This window comes from Homo sapiens, chromosome 6, assembly GCF_000001405.40.
Source record: "Homo sapiens chromosome 6, GRCh38.p14 Primary Assembly".
NCBI classification, from domain to species: Eukaryota; Metazoa; Chordata; class Mammalia; order Primates; family Hominidae; genus Homo; species Homo sapiens.
Window position 1 is genome coordinate 38,341,910 of NC_000006.12, and position 18,595 is coordinate 38,360,504.

Sequence of the window (18,595 nt, forward strand, 5' to 3'; positions counted from 1 at the left end):
TGGCTATATGAACCCGAGGACTACAAAGCCTCCCATGAGTCTGTGCAAGTGAAGCTGCATGAGGCATGACACACAGTCATAAAAATGGGAAAGAACCCCTTTGGTGGGAAAAGAAGACTAAAATCTCATATAGTGGGTGTGCTTAATTTTACTTATGTTATTTCCTGTCATCATTATATATTTTAAATAATAACATTAGAATCTGACTTTTTAAAATGATAAATATTATAAAAGTGATTTTTAAGGCCTAGAGAATAACTAAAGGAGCCTGCACTATGAAAAGAAGACCAGGAACTATGAAAGAAAAATGTTCTGAATCTAGAAACATAAAGGTAGGATTTGAGGGCCGGGCATGGTGGCTCACGACTGTAATCCCAGCAGTTTGGGAGGCTGGGGCAGGTGGATCACCTGAGGTCAGGAGTTCGAGACCAGCCTGACCAACATGGCGAAACCCTGTCTCAACTAAAAATACAAAAATTAGCCAGGCGTTGTGGCCGACACCTGTAGTCCCAGTTACTTTGGAGGCTGAGACAGGAGAATTGCTTGAACCCAGGAGGTGGAGGTTGCAGTGAGGCAAGATTGTGCCACTGCACTCCAGCCTGGACAACAGAGCGAGACTCTGTCTCAAAAAAAAAAAAAAAAAAAAAAGTAGGATTTGATACTCTAATTACTTATGATGACATTATCTTAGTTTTACTTTTTTTCCCCCAAGAAATCATGGAGTTCATATCAGTGATTCTCAGGAGGGGAGTGCATATTTCACAGGATATAAGAAAGTGTAAGAAGTAAGCATCTGCAATTTAAAAATAACTCCAGGTGATTTTGACATACCTGTACCCCCGTAGAGGACCTGTCAAGGACCAGTAGGGTGACTGGCCAAGGCCTGTGTGCTGCTAAAATGCACCTGAGATTATCAACATGGAAAGCTGGAGATTACTGTTTTAAACACCTCTGTAAGGTAAGCAGAGCTGCAACGTCAGACAGAGGATAACGAAATCCCCCTGAACTTCCTCACCACCCACACCACTGCCGAGGATGAGCAGCTCTGAGCTGTGAGGATGGTCCAAGGAGGGTCAGAGGGGGTTCCACTGCAGGCAATCTTCTGGCAAGCGCATGTACATATCTGCCTACCTGCACCACTGCTCCCACTTGGCTGAGGGACAATAAGAGGCAGATGATTACAGTGCTCTTTGCAGTCAAACTTGTGAGCACCATGGAAGAGTGCTTGAAGAGTGTTTAACCAGACACCAAAAACACTTCTTGTTTCTCTGTAATTTTCTTTCATCACCAACATATCTGAGACTGTTACAGCTTCTGATGATGCTGACTAGTTCAATTTGGACAAAACATGCATGCCAACAACAGCACCCCTCATTACAACTAATCCTGAGTCTCATGCCAGATAGGCTTATTTCTTTCATAATTACAGTGTCCACAAACCTGTTCTTCCTAAGAGGGGGCTGACTGATGTAGATGGTACCTTCCATGCAGCATGTTCAAAATGCAGTGCTCTGAGCTGAAATGAGTAGCCAAATGCTACACATCTTGTAAATAAGAAGGGTCTTGGTTTCTAAGATCCTTCTCACTGAGGGCTCTCCTAACTACACAGTCAGATATACAGTGAGGCCTACAGTCTATGGAAGAGCCTGGACAACAGGTGAAAAAGAATGCCCTCCCCACAACCCTCCATCACCACAATTCTGTACAGCCTATAGAATTAAAAAACAATATCAGGTAATGCTTCAAACTTGATAACTTTCAAATTACTTAAAAGTCACACAAATTATTAATATTTATATTTAATGTTAAAATTATGTTCATAACAAAATTAAAACCAAGGCAGCTATTTCAGTTGAGCTCTAAACACTCTCTATATTGGAAAATTTTCCACTCCTGCTACTTTATTAATATTATTCTCCCAAATCTCTATAAGTAAAGGATTAGGTTTTAGACACAGCAGGTGTTAGGAAAATTTAGGCTACGACCATTCAAAGAGTTAATAAACATTTGCAAGTTACACTCATCTTTCCCATTATAGTTATTCCCATGCTTTTAGGTCAGTATGGACATGTGTGCCAACATGAACAAAACTTGGGAAAGAGAGGAGACATGAGTCCCTTTGTAAAGGTACAGAATTCTGTTTTAGACCACAAGGCAGGGACATCTTATCCCCACACCGGAACATATGAAGTCCCTTCTCAAAGCAAACTGCAATAAAGGGACAGAATCAAGGAGCTAATTGATCTAAGCATGATCTTTGCAGCAGGTGAGTGAAAACCTATGGGCATGGGGGAAAAAAAAGCAGAATAAACAGTCTGGATGGGCAAAGCCACTCATGGTATCTAGAATGTCAAGACCTGGGATGGACTGTGCACAACGCCCAGACTACCCATTACTGAAAATAAAAACAAAACAAGACAGAAAACAACCAAGCAAACAATTACACTAAAATTTAAAATCCTCTTTCCAAATATCAGTCAGGCAGTATTTCCCACCAAATAACTTGACTTTTGCAATGACAATTCAAAAGTGACAATTCAGTCACTTTGGTCTTACTTAAATTATATGGAGGCACTTTTGTGAGTTGAACTTTCTTGAGGCTACTTCGGGCAAACATGAATTCATATATCCATGAAAAGAAGATACCTCCACAGCTAAGCATACCACTCATATCCAATCAAAGGCCAAAATACCTGCACAGCCATGGAAAGTCTGAACATCCAATCAATATCATACAGACTTCTCTTCAAACTCGCCTATCATTAAATCCCTTGGTGTGAGGGGCTTCACCTGACTATCACAAACATTCCCTACATAGCAAATCTGAATGAATTACTAAAATATTTTCAATTCTTTAGCACTAGTACAACATTTACATTCATTCTTTTAAGTTCATTGGAATTACTATATTGAATACTTCTAAAAAATGTAAGCCATTCCCTATGTCACCTAGCAATAAGGCATTTAAATCAACCAGAGTCCTTAGAACTGATTAAGATAAGTTAAGAGAGTAACAAAGTATTTGAAGATAAAATATCCAAATATACATACAAAAATCTAATGGTAATACTTACCTATCAGCCCCTTCTCAAGAGTGAAGGTTTTGTTTGTAAACATACATTCAAAAGCCACAATGTGAAAAATCTTGTTCACTGTGTTGTGAGTCCCAACAATTCGAATATACCTGACGGTAAAAAGAAAAGAAAATGTGTTGAAAATGAGCTCCCACCACAACCAATCCAAGGATAACAGAGTAAGACACGTCACCTAAACATAGAGTGCACCAGGATATAGACCAAAGGAGACTCTGAGCTTGACTTCAGACTCTATATCTGCTCCTTATGGGTAGCTCCAATTGAACCTAGAAGAATTATAGCAAAATAAGGGACATGTCATTTTGCAGGGAATTAAGTAGAACTTAGATTTGATTTACCCAGAAAACCAAACCAGGTACTGTTCAGTTCAACCCTTGAATGTCAGTCAGGTACATGACCGTAAGACATTTATACCGGAGAATAACAAATAGCTTCTGCTCTTGCCTTGTGGTTAGGAATGTGCTGGAGCACATGTGCACAAGCAAATGCTTTCCAGCTCAATGGAAGATTTAATCCACTGCAGATGAACACACGAAATCAATATTGCTTTCTTGTTTAAAAGAAAAAATCCAGAAACTACTGAAAACTACTCACAGTTTCTTTTATTTTACTACTGCTCCTAAATCTTTGTTAGGAAGTTAACCTTATATACTTACGCCAGCCCCCCACTTGACTGCTGGGAAGTCTCCTGACCACAGGAAGCGATCTGTAGAGATGGCCCAGCCTGCTCTGCAGCCTCCCTCCTGGCCACGTGAATCTGGCACCTGCACACAGTGCAGAGTTTCACTGGGCAGCCCTTGAGCATCTTGGCCTGTTCATCCTCTTTAACTCCCTGGAGACTTCATCTCCGACAAACAAGCATTAACCTTGGAGTAACTTGCTCTCTTCACTCTCCAAAGGGACCTGACAGTTCACAGGTTAATGAACAAACTCATTCTTCTGAGTGTCACACAATTCCATGAGGGATGTGCCACACACCGTCTTACTGGAATTCAAAGTAAGAACCAGGAAAAATAACTAGATTAACTGATAATGCCTCCCAGATTATGAACTATGCACTCTGAAGGATGGGGTATATTAAATGAACAGATTTCAATTAGGATATGACAGACTGGACAAGGTTTTAGTAATCTCCTCCCCTCTGCTGTGTAAAACAACCTTCAATTTAGACGATATAATTTTACTTCTGAGTTAATCGCTATTCACTAATTTGGTAATTTCCTTACATTTCTCATCAGTCCAAGTTAACTGTATAATGTAAATGCTGATTTAGAAAATTCACATTAAGGAAACTATATTTGGGGTTTTTATATCATGGGCTATTTTCCCTCCTGATTCTTCAAGCTTGACTCTCACGGCATTCCCTGTGCACCTCATTTAGCCATCTGCTCCTTGACATAAGCTGATCACTCACCTTTATAACCAATATTAATGCTATGTCCTGAACTGACTGTCCAGTGTGCTCACACCTACTGCAAGGAGACACCACTCTTCCCGTGTTGAGAATCAGGGCAACTGCTACATGTACCAGAGCCCACTGGTTAAGCAGGAATTTGGCCCTAATCTGTTCCTTCAAGCCCTCAAGGCAGACAGAAGGTATTGATTTTACTGGGTTTGGGTGGGTGGGTAGGTTCATTCAACATAAGTTCTTACCGGTCTGGGTAGTAAAGATTATATTGTCCTTCACTTTGGCAGTGACAATCTCCCTGGTGCTTTCTGGAAGGGAAGGGGTGTATTAATTCTGGCACCTTGGCCTGAATCTAATTTTGTCCATTTCCTTAAACCCACAGGAACTCAACCAGCATAGCATTTTTCAACTACATATGGCTGTGTCAGCCTGAGTGCTGCTGTCTGCAACCTTGGAGGGAATAGAGGGAATGTGGTTTAGTGGAATTTGATCAGATCATTTCGCTATTCTCTAGCTCAAGTCTCTACCAAAGGAGAGACAGCTCTCCTACTGTGCACAGAAGAGCCAGGAAGTGACTAACAGGGCCTTTTCCCAATGGCGGTTCTTAAGGTTAATATATTCCAGGCTGACCTAAGGGATGCAATAACCTTCCTTCCCTCCTGTTCTTTCTTTTTAAAACACTATATGGAATCAGATTTTCCAAGTTTAGATAACTAATTTCCCAAATTTTACCCAGTGCAAACATTAGGAATGCGAGAAAATGTGCAACCCTCCCCTCCTTTGCCCCGCAGTTATAAGCAACTGAGAATAAAAAGTTATACTGGAATACATTTTATACCCTTATGATAGTATTTGTGATCACAAACAAAATAATATATATGGTGGGAAAAGCATTGAGAGATGCCTCCAGATAAAAAGTTCTGTGTAAATGAAGATAATGTTATCTCTGCTGCATAATCCTGAAGTCAAATTAGCAATTCACCATTATATCTCACACCTTTTGATCAGCCTGTTATATGTAATGCTCATAACAAGTTTAATTATTCTAGTTCTACAATGCTAAGTTTCTAGAAAAAAATTGTAGCATAATTTGCAAAAATGGCATAAAGTCCCTACTCAAATACACATTTTAAAAAATGTGACATCAAAAGAAAGAAGCCAAGCTCCTTTTTCTCAAGCAAAAAGTTATAAATATCCTGGACCTTCCCCATATAAAGATCTAGCCTAGAAATGGCAAAAGGCTTCAATTAATGGCCCAACATCAATGACTGGTAGGAGCAGCCTGAAGCTCTACATTAAGAATTCAGGGCCAGGCGTGGTAGCCCTGTAATCCCACCACATTGGGAGGCCTGGGTGGGTGGATCACTTGAGGTCAGGAGTTCAAGACCATCCTGGCTAACACGGTGAAACCCCATCTCTACTAAAAATACAAAAATTAGCCAGGCTTGGTGGCACGTGCCTGTAATCCCAGCTACTTGGGTGGCTGAGGCAGGAGAATCGCTTGAAACTGGGAGGCAGAGGTTGCAGTGAGCTGAGATCGCGCCACTGTGCTCCAGCCTGGGTGACAGAGTGAGATTCTGTCTCAAAACAAACCACAACAACAAAAAAGGCGCTGTCCAGCACAGGAGTAGTGCCCTGCTCCATGAGCAATGACTGAAAGTGGGAGGAGGGAGCACAGGTACCATCCTTGACAACGAGCATATTTCCTTAACGGGGCTCACGGTGGAGCATCCCAAGATAAAAGAAGTTATTACTACCCAAGTTATTGAAAAATCCAAGGGATAGGAATGGGAGAGTCCTCTCTCTTTCTGCTTTTTCTGAAAAACAAAACAAAACTTGGTTCTCGGTCATAACACCAAAACGGGAGAAGTAGGTATCACATTTTCTCTGTCACAAGAAATCCTGAATATAGGTAAAGTTTAAGATTTATTTCTTTGCCTTTTCAGCACAAGTCAGACTCTGATTTAACCAGATAATAAGGGCAGTGGCAGCTAGTGACTTCATCAGTGTGTAGAGAGGAGAACTGCTGAAAAATAGAACAGATATCCTTTGTTCTTGCTGAGGTCCTCAACAGCAGCTCAGACAGTTGGAAGATAATTAAAACTTAAACAGTGCAGAGAAAGGCAGATATGCAACAGATTGGCCATTTCTGATGAGGATGAACGCTGTCCACGTGAGCCATAGTGTAACAGTCTGTTTCCAATATTCCCCTCCCTTCCCTATGTTAGCTGTCTTCAAGTAGCTGACAAAGACTGGATACTGAACATAGTTCAGTACACAATGTTTCAATACAGAAATTTTCTAGGAGCTATAAGATTACGGGTGAATGGGATTCTGTCTTCTTTAATAAAATAAAACTGAAACCCTCCAAGGACAGCACTCTAAAACTGAAAGGCACTACAGAGTTTTGACACAATGTGGCTTTTAGCATCCAACAGAATCAGGTTTGTTGCCCAGCTCCATCAATTAAGTGTGTCACTTAAGGGAAAAAAATAAAATATGCATATATTTTTTGAGACAGGGTCTCATTCTGTTGCCCAGACTGAAGTGCAGTGGCATGATCATGCCTCACTGCAGCCTCAACTTCTGGGCTTAAGTGATTCTCCCACCTCAGCCTCCCAAGTAGCTGGGACTACAGGCATGCACCACCATGCCTAGCAAATTTTTTTGTAGAGATGTTGCCCACATTGGTCTCAAACTTCTGGGCTGAAACGATTCACCTGCCTCAGCCTTCCAAAGTGCTGTGATTACAGGTGTGAGCCACCGCACCTGACCCCCAAATTTTTTTTTAAAACTTAGTTTCCTCCTCTATAAAATGAGGTCAATAACACGAACTTTACAGGGTACTTAAATGAGACAAGTATTGAAAATATCGAATGCAGTGCTTGGCAGAGTAGGATACCATTAAACAGAAATTCAAAGAGTAGATTATAGGATGCAGAATTTCTTGGTTAGGACTTTGAGAATGCTGGTTGTCTTGGAGAGTACAGTAGTTAGTCCCCCCTTATCTGTGGTTTTGCTTTCTATAGTTTCAGTTATCTGCAGTACAGTATAATATTTGGAGACAGTGAGAGGGAGAGAGACTGCATTCCCATAACTTTTCACAGTATATTGTTATAATTGTTCTATTTTATTATTAGTTATTGTTGTTAATCTCTCACTGTGCTTAATTTATAAATTAAACTTTACCATAGGTATGCATGCATAGGAAAACATACAGTATATATAAGGTTCAGTACCATGCATAGTTTCAGGCATCCACTGAAGGTCTTAAAATTTATCCCCTGAGGATAAGGAGGGGATTACTGTATTACTGACTTTAGATGTTAAAATGGTGCATCTATGAGAGGCAGGCCAAGGAGAAGACTTCAGGAACACAGGGAGGGGCTTGTCCTTCCACTTAGGACACCACAGTATGGGGTCTATGGGCCATAGAAAGCAAGCGACATTCAGAATGTAGATTTCCTAGCTCTGTGGCACTTCTCGCTTTAATCCTCAAGCCTTTAAAAAATGTTCTTGACCTGTCTTAGCTAAGCATGAGGAAGCAAGGGAACAATCTTTTGCCCATATTTGGGTTTAAAGTTTAAAGTATCTTCTCCCTTCCTCCAACCCAGGATCCCTTCTTGGCAGAGAATGTGAAATCCAGGGAGACTGCTCAGGGCCATGTGGTCCAGCTAACCATACCCAGTGACGTGGTTCTTTTTTTGTAAGCCCTGGAAGTTAGGAATTTGAATTTGTTAAGAAAAATGAATTTCTTTACAGAGAGACAGCATAGTACTATGACCTAAAGAAATTTTGCTTTGGAGATTTCACAGCATTCTCTGCCTGTTCTGGGAAGGTACGAGTTCCTTTTCTTAATCTAGCTTTCCGTCATTGCTTATGAGGATGCTACTAGATTTAATTTCTAAGGCACATACAGTACACCTTTAACATACTAAAGACAATATAGAAAAACAGCAACTTCTGCATTCCAACTTTAAACCCGTGGTATTCCGCAGTCTTCAGTTCTAGTGGAGCACAAGCCTACCTGTGGTTACAGTTAATCCTTAACCTTTGCCTTAGTTATGTGATCACCTAACTTCTGTACTGAGCACATTTTATTACAACATAAAATTGAATTTGGTAAGAAATATTTAAATGAGCTCTCAAGGGATTAACTAAAGCTAAAATCCATCTGAATTCCACTCTTTGGTAAACAAATATTTATTCTCAAATTGAACTTTATATTCTTAGGTTAAACAAAGAATCTTGAAAACTAGAGTTAGCCTGAGATTGGTACAAAAGAAGGGAACCTTAACATTTTGGCTCTTCCTTCAGTAACCATAGAGGACTCTGCGGAGAACATTGTTGTTTGTTGTGGCCAGAGGCAGGCACCTAACAAGAACTTAAGCTACAGCATTCACTAGAGATTTGAGATCACCCAAGGTTTAGATGCACCATTTCCAAGATTCCTATTTGACCTTTTCCTTTAAGGAGATACTAAGATTATACACAAATAATTCTCTAACCCAAGAAGCACGTAATGCCTGTGGTTTTCCCCAGTGTAAAATTTTCTTCTAGTTCTGTGTATAATGTTAGTGCTCTTATAATCAAGCCACTGACTGGAGGGGGTGTGACTTCAGGTCTTGTTGCTAAGGCAGCAAGTGGAAAACAAGTTTACTGCCAGAATGACAAAAAGCTTCTAGAAAAGCATGTTGCAAAGAAAGATTTGTTACTCTTAGAAAACCTTCCCTCTGGCTGGTCTGTGGAGCTATAGATTCTCTTGTACTGACTTCAGCAAAGGGGCCAAGCAGCATTTGCTTGTTTGGGAGAGGAAGGATTATTGAAAGGTTAAACACTACACACAGGGCTAAGCAGAGGCTACTGTCTCAGAGAGCAGCCTGATGCTATCTGACCATTTGCCCTGCAAAGGGAGCTATCATGTCCTGGCACCTCCACTATTCAACCTGAAGAGCAAACAAAACAGAAAGTCTTGTTTTTGAGAGAAAACTCATACTATATAGAATCAATTATATGGAAGGGATGAGATAGGTAGAAATAATTACTAATACACAAAGCCATTCCAATACTAAAGACAAATATTTAATTGTTGTTGTTTTTTTTTTTTTTTTTTTTGAGATGGAGTCTCACTTTATAGCCAGTGCAGTGGCGTGATCTCAGCTCACTGCAAGCTCCGCCTCCTGGGTTCACGCCATTTTCCTGCCTCAGCCTCCCGAGTAGCTGGGACTACAGGCACCCGCTACCACGCCGGCTACTTTTTTGATTTTTAGTAGAGATGGAGTTTCACCATGTTAGCCAGTATGGTCTCGATCTCCTGACTTCGTGATCTGCCCGCCTCGGCCTCCCAAAGTGCTGGGATTACAGGCATGAGCCACCGCCCCAGCCGTAATTGTTTTTTATTTGGGGGAAAAGTGAATTTTGAACAGTAGGCTTTTGCTGTTCACCAAATATGCACAATCTAAAACCTGCCATGATGTGCCTGATGTGCCTTCAGTGTATGAAATTATATTTTGAATTAATATCACAAAAATTATAATATTTACATAAATCATATAAAAATGACATAAGATCTAAAATGTATTTAATTCATGTACTTTTTTGCCTGCAAATATACCATACGATAGCCTTTAAGGTATACTGGGTAAATCTGCTAGTATCAAGATTTAATAAAAATCTACTAGGGGTCAGGCACTGTAGCTCATGTCTGTCATCCTAGCACTTCAGGAGGCCAAGGTGGGAGGATCACTTGAGCCTAGGAGTTCGAGACCAGCCTGGGCAACAGAGGGGAACCCTGTTTCTACTAAAAATTTAGAAACTAGCCAGGCATGGTGGTGCACGCCTGTAGTTCCAGCTACTTGGGAGACTGAGGTGGGAGGATCAATTAAGCCCAGGAAGTTGAGGCTGTAGTGAGCCATGATCATACTACTGCACTCCAGCCTGGGTGACAAAGTGAAACTCTGTCTGAAAAAAAAAAAAGAAAAAAGTCTACTAAATAATGCTAAGCCCCATGAGGAATCGGCCAGAAGCCTTGATCAGACATAAGCCTTGATCTGGACAAGTTTATAATACAGTTTGGAAAGCAAGATGAAAACATATCAAACTATATGAATTGACAGAACTGAATCAAAAGAAAGGCCTAGGTTCTAGTCAGAGCTTCATAATGCATTAGATAATACAAATGGGGTAAGCTCCTTAATTTTTCTCAATCCCAGGCTCCACATGTGTAGTAGTGGTAGAGAGAAGGCCATAAGAGCTTATTACCTATTCACATATGGTAGCTTAATCTTGAAACACTGAATTTAGCAACATGAATATTAAAAGTCCTCCCAGGAACTACTCTTGCTTCAAAGACCAAAATAAAACAAACATAGCTAAAGGAGAATTAATTCTCTTCCTACCCGCTCTTCCCAACTCATGATCACTGATTCATCCAACAAATATTAACTGAGCACTTACTATGTGGTAGCTATTGCTACTGGGTGCTGGGATATGGGACTGAATAATACAGATAAAATCCCTCCCTCACAGATTTTCTATTTAAAGTTGAAATAAACAACAAATTAAAAAATCAAATAATTATCCAATGATTGATAGGTGATCTATTTAGCACTGAACTTTATAGACAAAGTTGCTAAATTAGAAGGATAAACAGACATAAAACTTCTACCTTCTGGAATAAAAGAAGAGTCAAACGGGAAAGTACAACTAGCTCTGTCTAAGAACACGGCTATAATGTAAATGAGTCTAAGGTGTAAACATAGTACACCTATTATAGCTATTTAGCAGGATACAGGCAAAAATCTAATTAAATAGGCTTCTTAGCATCTGGAAAGAGGAACTGATTTGAATTTCAAGCAATGTCTTGCTTATTTCATGGTTTAGTTTTCTTTTTGTTCTTTCCATTTTTTTCAGATTGTAATTTTCAAGGGATTATAGAGAGAGAAAATGAGATGTGGAGTATATAAAATGAAAAATGAATAAGGGAGAGGGGAAGAAGAGAGACGGGGGAGAAAAAAGGGAGGGGGATAGAGAAAGAGAGGAGCAAGGGAGAAAGAGAAAAACGAATATGAACAAACCAACCCCTTCTCCGTCTCTGTTATGTGCTAATGTGAACAAATTCCCATATGGGAATAATTTTAACCAATGTCATTACTCAATAAAACATCTGAAACCAAGAAGTATACTTTAAGAAATAGAACTAATTTACCAAAAGTTCAACATTTGCATTTTTTCACTACTTTTCCCCTAGCCCAAGATGCTGGGGGTGGGGAAGAGAATTTCACTAGTTTTATCTTCAAAATGTCTGCATTATCTTTTCCAGTTTATCCAATAAGCTATGCGTTTCCACGAATGTAGACAAATGAGTCTAATGGAATTGTGAACTAGAGAAAAAGCAGAACAAATTTAAATTTGTTAGTTTCCCTATGAATCTATAAGAACTCATTTGGCGACTATGACCTGTAACATGCCTGCTACTTAGTGTCAGGGCAAGGGAAGTTTCTCCTCTTTTTAACCTAAGACTAGGGTGGGCATATGCCGTTAATTGTAACTTAAAAGTTTAAGGTTTGGAAGAATCTGTTTTTCTCCTTTTTTTTTCTTTTAGAGTAGAGAGTTAAATAGAGGAGGAAGAGAGGCAAAAGAAGGAAAAAGAATTAGTCTCTCCCCAAAGAAAAATCTAAGAATACTTCTAAGAATGTAAACATTATATACCCTGAGAAATCAGAACAGGAATTGCCCAAGATGGCTTAAAAAACAGAAGTGAAAACTAAGCATCAAAACCAAGAGAGTGATAAAGAGAGCACAGGGAGTGAGGAAATCACAAATCCTTACTCTAGACTCCTGAGAAACTAGCACTGGAATTAAAATAAAAGCTAATCACTTCTGCATATTGTACAAACAGCATCTGCAGGCATTATTTCTTTTCATGGAAAACCCATACTCCGTACACTCATACAACCAGTTGTGTTGTATGTTCATATATATAATATATCTAATGAATATATCTAATGTATACAGTATTGTTATATATGATAATACTATAGGTTCAGCTTCAGGCTAGAGATTTCAAAGCTCGACAGAACATATGGTCCTTGAAGCCTCTGTATTCTCTACAAGCTATGTAAAGAAACCTCTGTTCCAGGCAATTGCTTCTTAGAGAACTACTTGAAATGTATTGATAGAAAACAAGCCCAATGCATTGAAGTCCCACCTATGCCACATACTATCCCTAGACTGCTTCAATTTTCACAGAAAATTTCAAGGACCCTCCTTTTCCCCTTGTGAAATTCTGAACCTCTACTTAGTGAAAGGATCGTTAAAGAAAAAAAATCCAAAGATTTACTTAGCATGCAATTTGAGCATCAATAAACTTATGCATAAAGCTACCAAAAAGAATCAGAATAGTCAAAGTAAATAAAAATAATACTGCAGAAAACTTGAGGAAAATGCTCACCACAGCACAGAAATGCAAACAATAACAGGAGAGAAAGAGAGAGACAGAGAGAAAGAGAGAGAGAGAGAGAGAGGAGACACACACAAGTATTTTTGTGTTAAGTGCCAAAACTAGTATAGATATGTATAATACACTATCCCAGGGACTGTCAAAGCTGGAAGTGCATGACCAATTTCACTGTGGAAGCCTATACTCCAGTTTCCAAATAGCATGAAGGATTACTAATTTCAGCACTACTGGTATAAGAGATTTTGCTGCTGAAATCTGTCAATGTGTTAGAACTTTAATGCAAGCAAAACAGAAACCAAAATAGCAAGACGCTCCAAGTGGCACTATTTGGTGGTCTACAGAGACTGCTTATAGTAGGGGCTGAGCAGACATGGGATTCAAACCTAACAGTCTACCCAATCATTTAAAAAGACATTTCCCCAGATGTACACTTTATGTGTTAGGAGTCCTATGCACTGTTGAAGTTCAATTTTGAAGCCTGTCTCCAATCCATATTTCTGGTGGATTAGCAAGCAGGTTGGGAGGGGGAGTAGTTTGGCAAGGCTGTTTTTTTCCCCTCCCCAAAGCTTCTTGAGAGTTTTACCATTCATGACCTAGACTCTGCTGGTACAGCATTAGTGCTAAGCCAGTGATCAGAAAGAAAATGTCAGTCCTCACACTTGTTTCAGAAATTCAGAAAAAGAAAAACTTAACGAGTGGAATGAACAGAAAGTAAACTGTGTACTTTGTAAGAAAGGACGTTTTTTAATATGCAAGAAGATTCTATCATATTACTAATAGTCGTTGCTACTGCTGTGCTGCTTGGCCTCTTCATTAAAACAAAACAAAGCTGGTTTCACTATGAAGCAAGCTATCATCCTGGGATCAACCTTCACCATCACTGTAGGGATTCTTTCATCTCTCTCCTGTGTTAAACAGCCTGCACACTGTATCTCACACTTTCTTCTTTCTTGGTCTCTTCTCTCATTTTGGTGGAGTACATTTACAAACAGTTTCCTGAGATATGGTTTCAAGGAGATAAAATTTTTAAGACGTGGTCTGAACATTATCCTTAGTCCACCTTCGTATATGATTGGTTGTTTGGCTGGGTACAGAATCTCAAGTTGGAAATAGATTTCCTTCAGTACTCTAAATGTATTGTTTTACTGCCTGTGAACCTTCTAGTTTTGCTTTTGAGAAGCCACTATGATACCAGATCAGGTTATTTTCTTCCTTTTGTCTTTTTTTTTAAAAAACCATGTCCTGCTCTTGGAGCATGTAGATTTTCTCTACATCCCTTATATTCTGAAATTTCATGACAATGATGACGTGACTTGCTGTGGGTCTATTTTCTTCCAGTGGGCTGAGCACTCAGAAGGCTCTTGCAATTTTGAAACCCATGTTTTCAATTTTAGCAAATTTTCTTGAATTACTGTTATTAATTTATTCCCCTGGATTTTTTCTAATTTTTCTTTATGAAACTCTTAGTTTTCAGTATTGGACTTCCTCATCTTGACCTGCATTTTTATATTTTCTCTATTTGCCATATTTTTGTCATCTTGTTCTACTTTCTGGGAGAGTTCCTCAACTTTATCAGCTATGATGCCTCCTGAGTTTTCCATTTTTCCTTTAACATTTTAAATTTCCAAGTGTACTTCTTATTCTCTAAATGCTCCTTTCTTTTTGGTCTAGGGTTGCCATATGTACCTCAATCTCTTTAAAGATAGCAACATTTTTTTTAAAGTTTCCATATCCTTATACAGGTTCCCTCTATTTGGTGTTTTTGTTTCAGATTAGTTTCCTCACATGTCTGGTTGTCAGGAGGGAAACTAGAAATGCAATAAAGATTCTAAGAATATAGTGAGGCTCATAGACTTTTAGCTTCATGTTAGGATTACCTAAATGGGTTCACTGTTAGGAAAACCCTACTTTTAGATTCTTTAGCTCTTCCCTCTCAAGATGATCAGATTATCCTAGGAAGATGTTTCTAACCCTTGCATGGAAGACATGGGCCTGACTACCAGAGTTCTAGAAGCTAAGTGGTGAAACAGGATAGAAGAATGTGTTTGTGGATGGGGGTGCTGGGGAGGGTGGTTATGTGTGTTGGAGGTGTTACTGAGTTACTGAGAGGTAGGGTCTCAACAAATGACCACTGAATCCTCCTATGGTATGACCTTTCTCAATTGTGCACGTTGTCTCTCCTGTTTTAGAGACACTCTGTTTTATCCACCTCAGAGAATAAATTTCCAATTTTCCATCAGGATGAGGGAGAAACGGTCAGAGTTCTAGAAATAGGGGAGAGGATCTAGAGCTCTTGATTGTTTCATAAACATGTAGTTAACCAATCTTCCTCACAGTAGCCCTTCCCTACCCACTTCATTCATCACAGTTTCAGAGGTACCTGGTGCCTTTAATTCCTAAGCCTTTGAGAATTCAGTAGCTTAGGATTCAGTGTTTTGGGGGCCTGTTAAGTCATTTACCACTTGTTCATCTGCTTTACATCTTTCTCTTCCACATCTTTGCCTCCTCTTCCCATTTTCTTTATCCTTGTGGGTTTACACCTAAAAGAAAATCTCTTTACTGTTATTTTAGTGGAGTTTTGTTCAGAAGGGAGTGAGAATTGATGTGTTCTGAAGGGAGTAAGAATCTGCCATCATAACCTGAAACCTTAACTATTTTTCACAAGAACAAAATGGATTATTCAGGCTCTCTGCTCCACTCTCCCCATCCCTTTGGTTATTCCTGTAAAAATAAAAATTTGAGCAGAGGTCTTTGCTGGACTTACTGAGTCTGAGATCTTGGCCTTTCCAGGCTGCTATCACTTGGGTACAACCACTGAGACTGTCTGGTACTAGGACAACAATACAGGAGACGATAACCATTTCTCTTCATTTCCTTTCCCATCTTCAGCCTGAGGGCTACAACTCTTTATTCCTTCTTGTCTTAAAATAAAATTTCACCTTGTTGCTGCTCCTCCATCCCCCTCCTTATCCCATTCCTTCTACCAGGTCTTCAAATGGCTATCTTAGATTACTTAGCTATTTTATCTTCTGAACTTGTTTTTTCACTAATTAAATTCCAAACAAGGATATGTCCAGACATTCCCATAAATTATCACCATTCTGCAGAAAGATTCAAATCATTGAGTAATTTTGTTAGCCGGTCTCTCTCTTTCTCTCTCTCTCTCTAAAAGAAAGAGGGGGTGTGTTAATTCCTACTGAGTAAAAATAAAATAACTCAGCTCATCCTCACACTGAAACAGCTGCACAGACAGCACTGGCTGCTCTGTTTATCTTGATAACTGTGGAAAAACACCATCTCCTCCCCTTCCCGCTCTCTCCAGAACAATCACTATATTCCACATGCAGATGGGGTGATTTAGATCCTCTCAAGCAGAGACAGGCTTGTCTGGTGTTCTTCCTGCACATCCACACTGCACCCTTCCTTTGCTTCTGTTGGCACAACCCAGTTGCTTCAGATAACAGCTGCTTCAGGAAGACCTGATAGATTCAGCTGTGGATCCCCTGTAGGCTTCCTGATGCCCCAGCTTAGCCAGCTGCATCTAAGCAGAGCTACGGGAATAGAGTGCCAAAGTAGGAGAAAGTACATACTGTACATCCTCTTTAATCCATGGAGTTACTGCCGCAGCAGCAAAACGGGAGGGGAAGGAAAAACAAATAAATACCTCATAGGTATGGGGAGCAGGGTGGCCAAGGATTCTAACTCAGAGGAGTAGTGAGCAAAATGCAGGTGAGTAGGAAGAGAGCTTTCAACAAGGGTCCATTCCATTTTACTGCTTACTCCAGGGAGGCCAAAGAAATCCTCTGTTTTTTGTTTGTTTGTTTGCTTTCCTGAGTCATTCAATGACTCAGACAGGATTTAAAGACAATAATAAATGATTTCAATGGATTGTGACCTTTTTTTTTTTTTGAGACGGAGTCTCGCTCTGTCGCCCAGGCCGGACTGCGGACTGCAGTGGCGCAATCTCGGCTCACTGCAAGCTCCGCTTCCCGGGTTCACGCCATTCTCCTGCCTCAGCCTCCCGAGTAGCTGGGACTACAGGCGCCCGCCACCGCGCCCGGCTAATTTTTTGTATTTTTAGTAGAGACGGGGTTTCACCTTGTTAGCCAGGATGGTCTCGATCTCCTGACCTCATGATCCACCCGCCTCGGCCTCCCAAAGTGCTGGGATTACAGGCGTGAGCCACCGCGCCCGGCCGGATTGTGACCTTTTTGTTAAGCTAAGGAAAGTTAAGTTAAACATGCAGGATGGCCAACTATCCAGGTTTGCCTGGAACTGTCCTGGTTTTAGCACTAAACATCTCCTATCCTAGGAAACCACTCAGTCTCAGGCAAACCAGGATAGTTGCTCCTCCTACGCCACCAACAGCCATTTCCCATTCCAGGGTCTATGTGAAACTGGGCAACATTCAAATTCTACACAGCACCTTCCTTTTCTTCCAGGGCCGCTCCTGCCACACAAACTCTCCTCAACCCTAACACTCTTCAGTCTAACAGACGAGAGCATGAAAAGGCCATTCTGTGCTTGACTCTCAGCAGAAAGGCAACTGTGTCATTCTGAGTTCTCCCAGCTTGTCTTCTGGAGTCCCTGTCAGAAGCACAAGCCATCTAGCCCAATAGAACTGAATCAAAATGATGATGGCAGAAATGTCTTACTGCCTAGAGAAACAGTGCATCCCTCAATAACTTTAAAATGCTGAACTCTGAAAAGGAAGCCAAAGAAAACTCAGTTACACAGGGGCTGATAATTCAGTATGTGCATTACTCAGGCTCTCCCTTCCCTCTGGCCCGTCATTAGGCCATTTCACTGCTCATTAGCAGGGAAAAGGAGGAAGGAAAGGTGGGGGAAAGTTGAACCAGCCAATTTTTCTATTTATGAGCAGGTTTCCTAGGAAAGGTGTTCAAACTATCGGCTCAAGAGGTTCTTTGGTGGGGATAGAAGGTTAAGCTTTGGGGGTTGTGGCACGACTTGTTGATTTTCATCACTTGATCTCTCCTAATTCTCAAACAGAATGAACTGTTGGACCTCTGTTTTCATTGAAAGGCTAGCAAAATTACAAATGTTAGACAAAAAAAAAAAAAGTACTAGTTAAACTATACAAGATCCTATCTTTTTAAAAAGTCATTTGACAAACACTAGAAAGAACTGGTAATGCTAACAATTTACAAGACAAATATAATTGGATAATTATATACTGTGCTTTAACGTTTTTACAGCTTAAATTAAAGAAGTCCCCCAATCCAGATTAAGTGTGAAATACTAATTTGGGAAAGATACCAGAAAGAGCAATTTGGTTTTGGTTTATTCACTTAACTTCTCAATTTCCTCATCTGTAAAGGGGAAAATAACAGTACCTAACTTTGTGGGATTAAATAATACATGTGTTAAGTGGTAAGCACTTTACCAAGAACATACTAAGTGCTCAATAAATGGTACCTAGCATATAGTAGGTACTCAAAAATGTTAAATAAATAGATCATAATTTATTTAGCATTTTTATTGCACAACTACTATATGCTGAGCACTTTTAGGCACTAGATATGAAAAAATATATGAACAAGTCAATCTCTAAAAAAGGTCCCCTCTTTTAATGCAGACAGGAAATTACAATACATATTAGTACATTCTGTT

The 18,595-nt window shown here is 39.9% G+C and overlaps 1 protein-coding gene across 8 annotated transcripts in view, besides 1 other annotated feature; it reads right to left on the reverse strand.

The window, feature by feature from the left end:
* Window positions 1–18,595, reverse strand: part of BTBD9 (BTB domain containing 9) — a 471,479-nt gene that overhangs the window by 173,459 nt on the left and 279,425 nt on the right. For 6 of the 8 annotated variants that reach the window (NM_001099272.2, XM_047418146.1, NM_052893.2 and 3 more), the window contains one exon: window positions 3,075–3,184. In NM_001099272.2, the coding sequence (NP_001092742.1) occupies window positions 3,075–3,184 (110 nt within the window). Of the gene's footprint in view, window positions 1–3,074; window positions 3,185–3,324; window positions 3,362–3,751; window positions 3,860–18,595 lie in introns of those variants that run through there. The other 2 variants (XM_047418145.1, XM_011514281.4) reach the window with 2 other exon arrangements.
* Window positions 4,678–5,284: an enhancer, noted in NCBI's record as "OCT4-NANOG-H3K27ac hESC enhancer chr6:38314363-38314969 (GRCh37/hg19 assembly coordinates)". NCBI's record gives its function as "activates a minimal SCP1, AML or CMV promoter by ChIP-STARR-seq in primed H9 embryonic stem cells {active_cell/tissue: H9 hESC(primed)}" and the evidence as "EXISTENCE:reporter gene assay evidence [ECO:0000049][PMID:30033119]".